Source organism: Homo sapiens, chromosome X, assembly GCF_000001405.40.
Source record: "Homo sapiens chromosome X, GRCh38.p14 Primary Assembly".
Taxonomy (NCBI): Eukaryota; Metazoa; Chordata; class Mammalia; order Primates; family Hominidae; genus Homo; species Homo sapiens.
In genome coordinates, this window is record NC_000023.11 from 12433033 (window position 1) to 12448406 (window position 15374).

The window sequence follows — 15374 nt, forward strand, 5'->3', positions numbered from 1 at the left end:
ATACTTCAGTATCCTAAATAGTCCTTTAACATTTTATGAGTTAATTTTGAGCTACCTTAGTTGTCAGTTTGAAAATCACGGTTGAGCATTCTATCTAAGCTTTCAGGAGCAGAGAAGTGGTTTATTATCTTGGAGCCTGTTTTTGTAAACAAAGTCATGGGCAGACCAGAAAAGTGCAGAGCAAAAGGCAATCTATTTCTGCTGACATGGAAAGGAGATGAATAGGATTAAGCTATAAATACAGCCTGGAGATTGTCATCTCTTTTCCTCCATGGACGCAACAGTGCCTCACATTACAAATGATTTCCAAGGACCTGAAAACGTGGAAACTGAATTGGCCTCTTGCTGGTAAGGAGAAATTACTCTCCAGAGGTTGGCCAAAATTCACAGTTCCATCTTCTGAGTTAACTGATCAAAGGGGAGTGAGCAGGTGGTACAATTTGAAAACAAGTTAAAGGTAGCCAAGAGTGGAATCAGGGGTGAAGATACTAACAGCAAGAAAAATCTGCTCAGAATGCAGATGATTCAAAAAGCACGATCCAGAAATCCAATTCAATCAACACTGTTTTCTGACAACTTATTATGTTCAAGGTATGAGGGCCCGTACAGGTACACCTTACTTCCTGCCCCCAGATAACTTACAGTCTATTTGGAAAGAAGATAAATATTTGAGAAATTCAGCAGCAATGAAAGATTTCAGCAAAAGCAGAAGAGCAACCAGCTGACAATACATTTTCAGTTGCCAACTAAGTGATATCAGCCTTAAATAGGAGTTCAGAGAAAGGAAATAGGTTAGTTAGCCTGAAAAAAAATCAGGGAAATATTTGTAAGCAGGGCGAAATCTCAGCTGGGTTTTCAATATGAGTATGACTTTATAGGTGGAGAGAAGAAGGGGTAGGGGTCTTCCCGGTCAGTAAAACTTTGTAAGTTTATTTAAAAGCTTGGAGGTGATAAAATACGTATTGTGTTCGGGAGTAGAAGCTTCAAGCGTGGAGAAGAGAGAGCCTGTAGGAGACTAGTGGAAGGACATGACTAGTGGAAAAGTCTCGAAGCTGATGGTAGATCTCAGCTCTAATGCTCTACATGATATGACTTTTTTCACACATGGTTGTGTTCCTTCAATGCTTGTGCTTTAATTTGCATAAATCAAATAATGTTTTAAAGATCCTGTGAGAAGTTGCTGTTTAGGGAACCTCTGTGATGAATATTTAACTCTCAGTGTACCAATGAGGATAACTTTGTCAAATTACAAGTTTCCTAAGTTAATGTAAAGGGTTGTGGAGTTGGTTTAATTCATGGGTTAAGCCTACGCCTTCTTCTCTCCACCTATAAAGATTTTTACTGTTTCCCTGTGATGGTCTTGGCTCTGCTCTCCTCTCAGTGTAGGCATCATCCTCACTCTGTTTTCAAGATGGAGGTCCTCCTGTCTGTGCCAGAAAACATCAAAGGAAGGAAATGCATCTCTGCCTTAAACTCTCCAGGAAGTGAGATTCTTCTAGAAGCTCCCAGGAAACTTCCACTCGAGGCTCCTTGGCCTTAGTTACATCACATGCCCTTTCTTCAACCAGCCTCTGTAAGCTTTGAATGCCATACCCCTGTTTAGCTCAGACCTGGCTTCTAAAACCACTTGCAGGCAGGAATGATGGGAGGGACTTAGCTGGTTTAGACCAATCAGGGCCCACTCCTGGTGCTGGGGTGAATACCCAAAGCCAAAAGCACAGGGCAGCTACACAGTGCAGGAGGCACAGAATGGGTGTTGGGGGAAAGCCACAAGGTTCAGGCATTCATGTTTTAGTTTGGGTGCAAATATAGAACTTTATATACAGTTTGCTTTTTAAAAAACTACTGTTGCTATTCTTGCATTTACTCAGCCATGTTAATTGTAGGATCTTTTAGCCAATGCCAGCAAAAATCTTGTTTCAGATTTTGAATGGGATTTTAGCAAAAATAACTTTGAGAAGTGATCCCTTCACAGAGTTGAACTTTTTCATCCTTGAACATAGTATGTTACTAGTTATTCAGGCCTTTTATTTCCGTTAATATTTTATACTTTTTTAATGTGTGGTTCTTCATCTGTGTTTTCTTCATAACAATTTTTATTAGATTCATGCTTACTTTATAGTTTTTCTTACTATTATAAATGGAGTCCATTCTTCTATTACGTACTCTAACTGGTTAAAATGTGGCATTTAGAGTCTTAATGATTGTTATATGCTAATCTAACCTGCAAATATTAAAAATATTATTTCTTCCTTTACAATCCTAAAACATTTTTAAATCACTCTGTTAACTGGAATCTCTAGCACAATATTGAATATCTATTGTATATTCAATATATACTGTATATTCAGTATATGCTGTATATACAGTATATTCAGTATATGCTGACAGCAGATACTTTTAGTTATTTCTGGATTTTCACTGGAATGCATCTTAAACACATCTAAGTAGGTTGTTTTCTGTACATTTTTAGTAGGTAGCCTTTTAATGACTTAAGAGGTTTCCCTCTTTTCTAGCTTACTATAACATTTTTTTTTATCATGAATAGAGGTTTGATGGTAGTAAATGCTTTCTTTGCTGTGATTATGATTATTTGTACATCTGAATTCATAAATAAGTTTGGCCTTATTTTCCTATTTGTCTTCGATTTTGTTTTTGTGGTTATGCTAGTCTCTAGAAACAAGTTTACAGGCTGGACTTCTTTTGTGAGTATAAAATAGTTATTGTAAGATAGGAATCATTTTACTAGAAGTTTACTTGAAATCTCCAGTAAAATCACTAGACCTAGTGGGAGTTTTTGTAGGAACTTGGATTACTGGCCCAATTGCTTTTGATCTCTTCAGGTTTATTGGTCTATTCAGATTTTCGGTTATTTCTTTGTAAAATTTCCCAGATTTTAAATTTATTACCTTAAAATTATGTCTAGTTTTCTCTTAATTCTGAAATCACTACAGCATCTGTGGTTATGTCCCTCTTTTATTTTCTTTTTTTGAGACAGAGTCTTGCTCTGTCGCCCAAGCTGGAGTACAGGGGTGCAATCTGCGCTCACTGCAACCTCCGCCTCCCGGGTTCAAGCAATTCTCGTGCGTCAGCCTCCAGAGTAGCTGGGATTACAGGAGCCCGCCATCACATCTGGCTAATTTTTGTATTTTTAGTGGACACGGGTTTCATCATGTTGGCCTGAGCGGTCTCAAACTCCTGGCCTCAAGTGATCCACCCACCTCAGCCTCCCAGAATGCTGGGATTACAGGCGTGAGTCACCATGCCTGGCCTGTCCTTCATTTTTAGTATTATTTATTTTTGCCCTCTCTCTCTTTTTTCCTCTTTCTAGAGGTTTATTTCATTAGACTTTAACAGAGTGGATATTAGCTTTATTGAGTAACTCTGGTGGGGAGGGTTGTTTGGTTGGTTTTCCAAACAAGTTGGTTTAACTTCTTTTACATTTCATTTTCTTCTTCTTGCTTCATTTGGCATTTTCCAGCTTTTAAAGCTAATCAATTAATTTATTTTTAGCTCATTTTTATTTTCTGAAATAAAACATATTTCAGTAAATTCATCCCACTAACTTTGATATGGACTAGCTTTAATAAAAATATTATTTTATAGTATTTTTCTCTCTTCTTTAACCAAGAATTATTTACACATAATTTAGTTTTCAAATATTTGATATTTGAAGTCCTTTTGCTTTTTTTCTTTACTGATACATAACAGATGCATATATTTTGGAGTACCTGTAATAATATATTCATATAAAGAACAAATCAGTGTAATTGGCATATTCATCACCTTAAATATTTGTCATTTCTTCATCGGTTTACTTATCTTTGCTATTATTACCTTGTGATGTTTGATTATAGTGGGTATGAAATTAGATCTTTAAAATTAAGAGAGAATTATTTTGTCCTAATACCTAGATGATTTCTAAAAAGCTGAAAATCTTTTAGTACATGAGTTTAACTGATTTATATTTGTTAGGGCTATTGAAATATTTGCAGTAATTTCTTATATCTTCTCTTTTTAATTTTTAGGTTTTTTATTTTCTAATTTCTGTAGAGTGGATTGAATTTTGTGCCTTTTTATTGCTTGGAAGTTATGCATTTCATTTGTATTATTTTTGCTTCCCTTTCTTATTAACAAGCTTGCTATAATATTTTTCTGGCAAAATCTAAAGTTAATTAGTAGTTGCCCTCCCAAACAAGACACTTTAGCTTCCCTACAATAGTCCCAGCAGGGAACCTATCTATCCCCAACTCCCAAGGTGGTATTACTAGGAATCTGGAATTTTAATTCCAATTTATTACACACACACACAAACACACACACACTTTTTCCAGGTAGTATTTATTTAGATCTAGCAATATATTCTTTTTTCTTTCTTTCTTTCTTTCTTCTACCTGCCTGTCTTACCCATTTTTTTTCCTTCTTTTTTTCCTTTCAGTTAGGCTGGGATAGTCCTAACTCCTGCTGTGCCCAGCTGTGGTCTTTCAGTGGCAAACCGTCTGAGTTCTAAGCTTCATTTCATTCTTACTCTTGAATGATGGTTTTGGATTCTAGTTGTTTTCCCCTCAGAACTTTTTCAGTTTTACTCAGCCCTTTAAAGGTGTTACTCCATTGTCTTCTGGAATTTACTGCTGTGATAAGAAATCTGAATTAATCTCTTTCCATCTGTGTCTCATAGGTAATCTGCCTTCGTCTCTTTTCCTTTCACGATGCTCCCATTACACTTGATCTCTGAGGTTTTGCTATGAAGTAGCTGAGACTCAAGTGAACCTTTCCTATGAGTTTATAAACGTTAGTCTATTCTAAGGCTTTACTGAGAAATTAGTCATACTATTCATTCAGTTTCTTGGTTAGTTGTAATTTCAAATAGAATAAAATTTTGTTTTGTGAGTTCTGCATAGGATCAAGGATCAAAATTTACTGCTAAACAATATGTGGATACCTCCATCTGTTTTTTACCTAAACCTAGAAAATAAGGCAGAGAAATGGATAAATCATACTGCTTCTGGCCTTTAGAAATTTATTATTTTGTGATTTTGCAGCCCTAAAAAGAATTAGAAGCTATTTGGATTATATCCAACTATATTATTTAACAACTGAGTATGTCAGCAAACCAACTCACAAAAGGTTTTCAGGTGACGTTATAAGGGAAACTATTTCCACAATTTTAGTAAAGTTCTAAAAAGTCAGTTTAAGCAGACACAACACACAAAGGCTTTATGAAATTAGAAATCCAAGAGCAGCATATCAATGAAGTGACCTTAATTTGCCTATCATCCTTTATGCAACTTGGGATTGGATATAAAATTGTTCTACCTCCTTGGTCATTAAATATGCTAGTCCATTAATGCAATTTGGGCAATACTAGATTCATAGTGTTATATACCAGACTCTTACTGAAAAGACAGTGTTGGGGGAAAATTGAATGTGTATATTACTTTATAATTCCAAAAGTGGTTTCTCATTCATTATCTCATCATTCCTAGTAATGATATGGAGAAAGTATTAGTATTCTTATTTTAGAGAGAAGGAAGCTTCAGAGATATTCAGGATGTCTCCCAAGCAAGAGAACTTAGATTAAGTCAGACAGTCTGGGATTAATTCAGTGCATCACATGTCACCTTGTAGGTGGTAGGTGCTCAATACATATTTGCTTAATGAAGGGGTGACAAAAACCCCGATTCTGATGCCATACCCAAGGCACTTTCTACTTTCACGGCTGCCTTTAAGTCACATGGAATTACACAACTGCTGTGGAGGTGGCAAGAAATAGAAGTAGTAAGAATAAAGGAATTTTTCTAAACTGAAGGTGAAGAGGAACACTGTGAGGTAGAAACTATGATTTCCATTTTATGGATGAGGAAACCAAAACTTAGCACCAGGAGACAGTTCTCTGTGCGTCGCTCACCTTTCCACGTGTCTTCCGAGCAGAGGTACTAACTGCCTTTCTTCCACACTATCCTTATAAGGATATGTTTGTATAGTGAACAAGTTTAGATGACAGAGGTAGTGACTCCATCCAGAGCAAAGGCAGAGTTGTTCATTGTCCAGTATAATAAAGATAATGTCTCCCTCCAGGACAAAGTTCAGGTGGGCTTATGAAATCCATTATGAAAGATTCAGGTTTTCTACGTTCAGGATTCCTGTCCAGTAACCCAGTGTATGCAGCCGTTGCCTCACTCTCTTTGTGTCTTCCAATGGGAATTGGGGTTCTGGAAGTGGCACAAATGCTAATACTCTGGCTACGGCTATTGCTCTGAGTAATAAATCCCTTTCTCTGTGACCTAGGGGTCTCTTGTCTTCTGCAAACATCCGTGAAATGATGGCAGACTAACACGTTAGCTTGCAAATAGGGTCAAATCTCAGGCTTTTCATTGTTCTTGACGCTTAGCAAGACTCAAAAGCATCTAGCTCCTAAGTACGGGATTCGAACCTAGGTGTGATGGACCTCAAAACCAGAGCTCCTAACCTCCACTCTTTACTATTTCCCATGGAAACAGGCATGAATCATCTCAGCAAGAGCCCGTGGTGTTGTGCTGTCATGGTGTAACCGAAACTGTTTTATTATTACATTCTGAACTGACAAAGTCCAGAGCTCATTTCGTTTTGTTTTCTTTTATAACCCTTGAAATTATATCCAGCCTTATTCAAAGGCAAGGGAAATGGGTGACTTAGATTGTATGAGGGGCAGGAGAAGGTCACCTGCCAGCAGATGTGATGTTTCCATTGTGAGCAATTCACATTTTCCTATTGAGGCATTGTTTGTTAAAATGCCGTATTTTGACTTGGTTCAACATACCAAATGGTTGTTAACCGTTGGAACCTTAGTTTGCATTAGTTTGATGACTTGACCTTTCCAAAAATGGGGGGTTGAAAACTAGAGTTCTATAAAATGAGACAAAACAAAAGAACAAAGCAGACAGTTAAAAGGTCTCAAATGTGAGTTGCAAAACTGCCAGCTCCCGTATGACGTTTAAAAAGTCACTAGATTTCTCCAAGCTTTAGTTTTTTTAAAAATCTATAAAATGGAAGTAATTATCTCAATGGATTGCTTTGAGGGTCTGATATATAAGGTTATCAAATTTAGAAAATAAAAATACAGGATGCCAAGTTATAGTTGAATTTCAAATATGCAACAGATAATGATGTAGTATAAGTATATCCCAAATATTGCATACAACCTACTAAATAATCTGTTTTGCATCTGAAATTCAAGTTTAACTGGGTATTCTATATTTTATTTGCAACCCTCCAGATAAATAATATACTGTAAAGCAACCTTGATTTGAGGATTTGTATTTAAATAATTTACTAAGAAACTACTCCCAGGGGTGACTGTGACCTGTAAGGGAGTAGGAAGAGGAGAACAGGGAGGGGAGGAGAAAGCCAAGCAAATGCAAAACTTCAGGGAATTCCTACAGAGCAGAGCTTCAGCCTGATCCTGCAGGGAGCTCTGGGATGTGAGTGACCTGGCAGATATGTCTCAGCCAGAGGTGGGGAAGCTGGACTTTGATATTACTTGCATCTCTCAGTTAGTGATTAAGGGGTACTTTCAGCTCTCTCTAGTAATTGGCAATGCAGGTCCAAGGGCCCTAGGGAAGCCCTGTAAAGAAGATCTGCAAATGCAAGTCATTGAAAAGGAAAACACATAGGGTGTGTGGGGACTTGGGAGGGGGGGGAGCAGCAACAGAAATGAAAAAGAGGGGATCTGAGGAAACTTGGAAAGGACACCAACTGTATGCACTATAGTGCCCTATAAACTTACTTATAGAGTACCATGTATGGTTGGTGACAGATTAAGAGGCAATGAGAAACAGGATTCTCAGTGAAGAAACCAAAGAGATAGATAGTGAAGGGCCCTACTCCCCAAAATGGTAAATGTCATAATTCTTCTGATAGTTCTAGCTATTAGAATTGCCAAATGGTAAATGTCATAATTCTTCTAATAGTTGTTCTAGTAGTTCTAACTAGATTTTGATGCTCATTTAGGAGGTTGGGTAGCATCTCCTCTCCAGTTTCATTTGCATGTATCTGCGAATAATTCAGAAAGACTGCAGCCCCTACAGAACAACCTCCTCTTCACTGTGCTGTTGAAAGCCCAGCTGGAGGCAACTGTAAACTTACAATCGCCAGCCCTTGCAGGACATCTCTTAGGGAAACTACAGAGCATAATTTGGAAGTCCATGAAGTGCTACATGGCTTTGTCTAAAATCTCATGGGGAGAAATTGAATGGCCTTAAACTGATGCCCAAATTGCATATTTAAAAAACCCTCTAATTTGGAGGAAGTCTCCCCAGGAGGCTGTCTCTGCTGCTTGGCCTATAAAACTCTAAATATTACAATTAAAAATAACAAAGTACACAACTGGAAAATAACATCTATTGAAATCATAATTTATTCATTTGTTTGTTTTTTTTCCCCCTTCTCTCTCCTTCAAATAATACCTCCACGACAAAAGGATCCTCTAGTATCACACTCACTCCCCCTCATTCCTGTGGGAGACTCCCAGGATGCAAAATGATAGGCAGCTGGGGCAGGGCATTTTGCCACTGCCTTCTGCATTATTTAGAGGCAATAAGGAGCAAACTGAGAAGCTGGGGAAAGAAGAAAAGAGTCTTTGGCAAGACACATTGGAGTATTTCTTTTTAAGAATTGAGTGTTTGGGAATAAATGAATGGTGTAGTAGCAAAGTATAGAACAAGGTCTCTCAATTCTGTCAACTTCCAGGTACTAAGGCTGTCACAATGATAATGACATGCCTTTTAACTATTGAGCCCCTCCCTCCAAGAAGTTCCACCTAAGGAGATTATTTTAATGGAACCATGGTTCTTGAAACTGACCACTAGGGAGCAATTCTCATCGATATAGTTTAGCAACACATAGCTCTTTAGTGACTTTAGCCACAAGAATTTGGGGAGTTGGGATGTTTCCAAGCACAGTGTAATGAGCTCCTTTCAGAGAGGCACAGCTTTCTAGAGCAGAACTTCCCAATCACTGTGCTACAAATGGATAGAGGCAGGGTAACCATATGTCACCGTTTGCTGGGGCAGTCTTGGTTTATATCTGTAGTCCCAGCAAAATTATTAATAGTGCCTCCTTTCACTAGAACCATTGTCCTAGTTTGGATGATAAATATGAATGATAAAATATATGGTTGGTTATATGTGTGCCAAGATTTTTATCTCCCTAGTCTTCAGGGTGGCTAGAGTCACAGGGCTGTTTGCCTCAGGCTGTGAGCAATCTTGTCTATTTTGTTCCAGTCTGCTATACAAATATTAACAGTGGGCACAGGATAACTATGAACACTGCCATGGAGACAAGGTGGTCTTAGGTGAAAGAAGAAATAAGTACAGAGAAAATTAACATCTAGGATGCAAGTAATGCAGCCAAACTTTCCTTGTGAATTTGACAAATAGAAGTACTTGTGGTTCTCCTGTAAAGACCGTCTAATTCAAAACTGTCCAATAAAAACAAAATGCAACCAAAACCATAAGATACCACTTTACATTCTTTAGGATTCCTAACACTAAAAAGTCAGAAAATTACAAATGTTGATGAGGGCATGGAGAAATTAGAAACTTCGTACACTTCTGGTGGGAATAAATAATGGTGCGACCATCTTGGAGAACAGTCTGACTGGCTGTTCCTCAAAATGTTACACAGAGAGTTATTATATAACCTGGTAGTTCCACTCCTAGGTTTATACCCAAGTGAGATGTAAACAATGTCCACACAAAACCTAGTACATGAATGTTTATAGCAACATTATTCCTAATAGACAAAACATGAAAACAACACAGATATTCATAAAGTGATGAATGATAAAGAAAATAGGATGTATCCATACAATGGAATATTATTCAGCCATAAAAAGAGTGACGTATTGGTACATGATGCAACTTAGATGGACTTAAAAAGCATTATGAGAAGCAAAATAAGCCCATTGCAAAAGACCACATATTGTATGATTTTATTTGTTCGAAATATCCAGAATAGGCAAATCCACAGAGACAAGGATTAGATTAGTAGTTTCCAGTGGGCTGCAGGGAGGGGAGAATAGGGAGTGACTGCTAACAGGCAAAGGGTTATTTTTGGGTTTGATGAAAGTTTTCTAAAAATAGAAAGTGGTGATGGTTGCAAACTCTGTGAATGTAGTAAAAATCAGCGAGTTGTACACTTCAAGAGAGTGAATTATATGGTATGTAAATCATATCTCAATAAATCCATAGCTTAATATGTATATACAACGCAAGCCACATGTATAATTATAAATTTCCTACTAGACACATTGATAGGTGAAAAAGTGCATATGATTTTAATAATGCACTTCATTTTTAAACTATATTCAAAATATCATTTTAACATATAAGCAATGTTTTTTTAAATTGGTAAAATACTGTACATTCTTTTTATTGTACTCAGTGTTAAAAATTCAGTTTTACACTCACAGTACATCTCAACTGAGACTAGCCACATTTTAAAAACTCAAATATCACATGGTACTGGCGGCCACCATAGTAGAGGGCGTGGGTCTAAGTAATAGTTGTTAATAGCTGCTAGCTTATGGGTTTTGTGTGTGTAATAAGGCTACATCTGAAGACTAAAATAGCCTAAGCTCTTGAGAGAGTTTAGTAGAAGTGGAAACAAATGAAAACATGGTTTCATTGGGTTGTGATTATTCTTAGGGCCAGCTTGTTTGTACCTTCTAGCGTTATTGGTTATGCTGCCAAAGTAAATGTGGGACGCAGATGTTTTTGCTTTTTGTGGAAAAAAACACAAAGATACTAATTGAACCCATTTACCATTCATATTTTGACCTCCTGGATAAGTGTGTCCCAGCCACATGGTGAGTTAGCCTTCTTTGAAAAACTTCAACTTGCATATCATTTGCGTCATTTCTCTACTTTCTGAATCAGCCTAATACTCATTTTGACACTTCTAACTTATCTTGAAAGTCCCCGTTTTTTCATGTTCTAATTTTCTGTCCACCTGATGGTTTTCGGTTCCTTCAGGTCTTGACAGCATAGTATAGAACACATCCTAACTCACTGTATGTTGTTCTGCCCATCCCCTGATTTCAGAGAGATGTAGGGTTTTCATTCTCCTGTAGGGAGACATAGGGGTTATTCATGAAGCAGAGAAAGAAAAAAAAAAATAGAATATGGGGAAATAAGCAGATCTCTTTCCAAAAGCTGAGGTTTTCTAAGGAATATGGAAAATAAGAGGTTCCTAAAGGAAAATTTCTTGCCTGACCAAAAACATAATTATTTCTTTCATTAATTTAGGTGGATGTGTGTTTATGTTGACAATAGAGAATAAAGGGGGTGGTAAGCTCTATGCAAAGAGGGCTGTAAAGAACAGCTGTCAAGACATTTTCTTATGAGAATGAGAAGAGAACTACCTTTGCAACTTCAAAAATGGAGACATGGTATTTGTACTTTTTCTTTTGCTACTAGACAGTGAAGTTCTTGGGACCTAAGGGCAGGGTTTTATCTTGTTCCTCTCTTTCTCCACATCTTAGTCCATTTTGTGTTGTTATAACAAAATACCAGAATTGCCTAGAATACTGGGTAATTTATAAACAAGAGAAATATATTGGCTCACAGTTCTGGAGTTGGGGAGTCCAAGAGCATGACACTGACATCTGGTGAGGGTCCTCTTGCTGTATCATTGCATTATGGGAGGCAGAAGAGCAATAGAGTGCAAGAGAGCAAGAAGGGGCCAAACTTGCTTTTATAACAAGCCTACTCTCAAGATAACTAACCCACTCCCATGATAAGGACATTAATCTATTCATGACCAAATCACCTCTCATTAGGCACCACCTTCCGACACTGTTGCATTGGGGATTAAGTTTCCAACACATGAACTTTGGGGAACACATTTAAACCTTAGCACTGCAGTACATATTTCACTTATTCTACAAGCAACCATCCTGACCTGAGTTTGACTTGGGAAAGTTATTACAACAAAGTTCCTGTTCTTGATCCTTTGGGAGCTCTCTCATTATCCCTGTCTTAGAACTTGGTTTAGCTGGCTCCAGGGCTTTCATGATGGATGAGGTGTGGATTGGTTAGTTCCTCTTGCAATGGCCACTGCATTAGTTATCATAAAATTTCATGTAGAGCAGTGTTTCTCAAAGAGTGGTCCATGGTTGGGCATCAACAGCATCACCTGGGAATTTGATAGAAATGAAAAACTGTAGGTCCCTCTACAGATTTACTGAATCAGAAAATATGTTTTAACAAGCCCTCCAGGTGATTGTAATGTGTGCTAACGTTTGAGAATGCTGACGTAGAGCATTCTGTGCTACATTGGTAGTATCTCATGCTTCACTTGAGGGGCTTTAAAAATAAATAAAAATGGAAATTGTGGAAGAACTCCACCTGACAAAAGTTCAAATAGTAGAATTAGAGAAAAGATGTGCAAAAACAGATTTGGGAATAATAATCAGATCATTTGTTGAATGCCTGTCACGTATAAGACACTCTTCTAGCACCTTTTGCTTACATTCTCTCTATTCCTGACAACAAATGTAAAAGGTCGGTAGTTATATATCCATTTATATCCCTATTTTATAGCAGATGCAACTTATTCAAAAGAGGTTAAGTAATGCATTCACGGTCAACAGCTAATAAGAGGCAGCAGTGAAATGGAAGTTGAAGCAAAGTCTGTGCACTTATAGCAACTAGACAGGAATAAATATGAATTTTGAGCTGTTGGTAAGTGGGGTATTGTTATTATGTACTTTTTTATTATGAAAAATGTTTCATGGCTGACATGGCATTTCTACTCTGTTTTAAAAGATTTTGGCAACAGCCATGAGCCAGTTCAACAATGTATGTCAGATTTGTTTAAAGGATTTTCAAACTGTAGCACAAAGACCAAGCCTGTGCAGGTCTCACATGTTCTTGTGTTTGATAACATCTATTGTTTACAAAATGAGAGATGCTTTATCACAAGGGTTGTTCAATGGATTGGGCTTCTTACTGCTAATGTGACTTGGGTCTGTGAACTCAAAGATGAGAGTTGAGAGCAAGAGAGAGAGAAATTGTAAACTCTTATTCTCAGGGACTGGGTAGAAAAGGGAGAGGCTATCTAGACCACTGACTTTTAATCTTGTTTGATCAAAACCCACAGTTAGAAATACATTGTATAATACATTTCAGGACATACATATGTACATATTTATAAAACAATCAATAATGAACAGAATATTTGTAGTTAGTATGTATGACAAACACTGATGCTTGCTATTTTAGTCTATTTAACTTTTCATACTAGCCACCACCCACTGCAGAGATTTTGCATTCCACTAAGTAGCAACTTGCAATACTGAAAATATTAGAATATTGAAAAACATTATTTAGAGCACACATTTTGGGGCAATTGAGGTGTTTTGAGGGCCTGGAATAAGGAATTAGTATTCCTCTAGTGGGAAGAAGATAATCAAAGAGGCTCTCATCTTGAATTGTAGCACCCATTATTCCCACGTGTTGTGGGTGGGACCTGGTGGGAGATAATGGAATCATGGGGGTGGTTCTCCTACACTTCTCTTGTGGTAGTGAATAAGTCTCATGAGAGCTGTTGGTTTTATAAGGGGGAACGCCTTTTGCTAGGCTCTTATTTTCTCTCTTGTCTGCCACCATGTAAGATGTGGCTTTTGCCTTCCACCATGATGGTGAGGCTTCCCCAGCCATGTGGAACTGAGTCCATTAAACCTCCTTTTGTCTACACATTACCCAGTCTCGGGTATGTCTTTGTCAGCAGCATGAAGGCTGACTAATACACCAGGGGTGGCTCCACCCCTTTTGGGGCATTTGGAAATGGCTATGAGCATGATGTAGCTGTCGCAATGAGAGCGAGCACTGCTGGCGTTTGGTGGTTGGGGGATGGAATGCTGACTGTGGTGAGGAGCGTGGGCAATCTTGCATAGCAAAGTTTGTCCTGCCCAGCATGCCCATAGCTCTCCAGTGGAGGAATGCAATGTGGACCTTTTTGCCACCAAGCCAGTCTGGTCCCTCAGATCCCTAGCAGCCAAAGACTAGATCCCAGGGACTCTTTGGGCTAGGCTCCTGTGGTTCCAAATGACGAAATTAATACCCCAGTCCTAAATCAGTGATGGCAAGAAACCTATCAGGGAAGCAACATGGATGACCAAGGCAGAATTTCTCAACCTCGGCACTGTTGATATTTGGGGCCAGATAATTTTTTGTCCTTGAGAGCCACCTTGTACTTTGAAGTATATCTAGCAGCATCCCTGGCCTTAATGCTAGACGTCATAAGCACTGCTTTTCACCCCCCAGTTGTGACAACCAAAAGTATTGCCAGATATTGCCAAGTGTCCCCAGAAGGGCAAGTCCCCCTCATTAAGAATCACCAGTCTAAAGTAATGAAGAGAACGCCAGACAACTTTTATTAAGAATCACCAGTCTAAAGTAATGAAGAGAACACCAGACAACTTTTTAAATGAATTTCATGTAAGAACAGGCACTTCACAAGTAGCATGCCTGGAACAAGCCTGCCCCCTCCTGCAACTTTTCTGAGTCAGATGGAATCAATGCAACACGTCAGTGGTTTATGGTCTTTTATATTTCCCTAGGTTGCAAGTGGTTAGTCATTTTACAGCCTACCTACGTCATGGATCCAGGGCCTTATTCTGTTTGTTTACATGTGAAATATATAAATTGAAGTCTGTACAGATTCCTGGTAAAATCCAGTTAAGACAATGCATGACACATGGGGCCACTGCAGTTATTATCAAAACAACATACAAAAATAAGCATCATCCCTCTGTTAAGGTCCCTTAATTCTCACTGTGTTTCCTTTCTATTTCATCACATCAAACTAAATGCAGTGTTGCCTTCGAACATCTGCTTTCATAATATAAAGCTGTCTTTTCAACATAAATCTTACTTTCAACTTCCCTAGGAAACATGCTTTGGATTTAGGTGTCACGGGTGGTGACTGTCCTTGTAGAGGACTGTCGTGGTAAACAAAGGTGATATTTGTAGAATGGTAATTAATCACATGCAGCAGGTAATGCTTGAATCTTTTTAGAATCCTCTGACTGTGCATGTTCAGGGAATGATGGAGTGTTTGTATACTCAGTCAAAGTGAAAACATTTTGTTGTTTCCAGACAAAACAAGCCTCTCTTAAAATTTATTGAATTCCTATTTCTGATAAATGAAATGATCTATGCATTTGTTAGAATTTTGTCCTTTTAACGGTAACTACATTTAGAGCTGAAAAGAATAAAAATTTATTATTTAAAATTCATGTTATCGGACAATAAGAGGATCACAGGATTTGAGTAAAAAAACAAAAACCAAAAACAAACAAAAAACAACTACCTAATTCTTGGCCCCGAAAC

General features: G+C 37.9%; 1 protein-coding gene across 11 annotated transcripts in view, besides 1 other annotated feature; it reads left to right on the plus strand.

Moving 5' to 3' along the window:
- FRMPD4 (FERM and PDZ domain containing 4) overlaps nt 1-15374 on the plus strand; it is a 902085-nt gene that overhangs the window by 610594 nt on the left and 276117 nt on the right. The gene's annotated exons all lie outside the window — the stretch shown is intronic.
- Nucleotides 10810-10899: an enhancer, noted in NCBI's record as "active region_29411". NCBI's record gives its function as "activates an Ori minimal core promoter by ATAC-STARR-seq in GM12878 lymphoblastoid cells {active_cell/tissue: GM12878}" and the evidence as "EXISTENCE:reporter gene assay evidence [ECO:0000049][PMID:35858748]".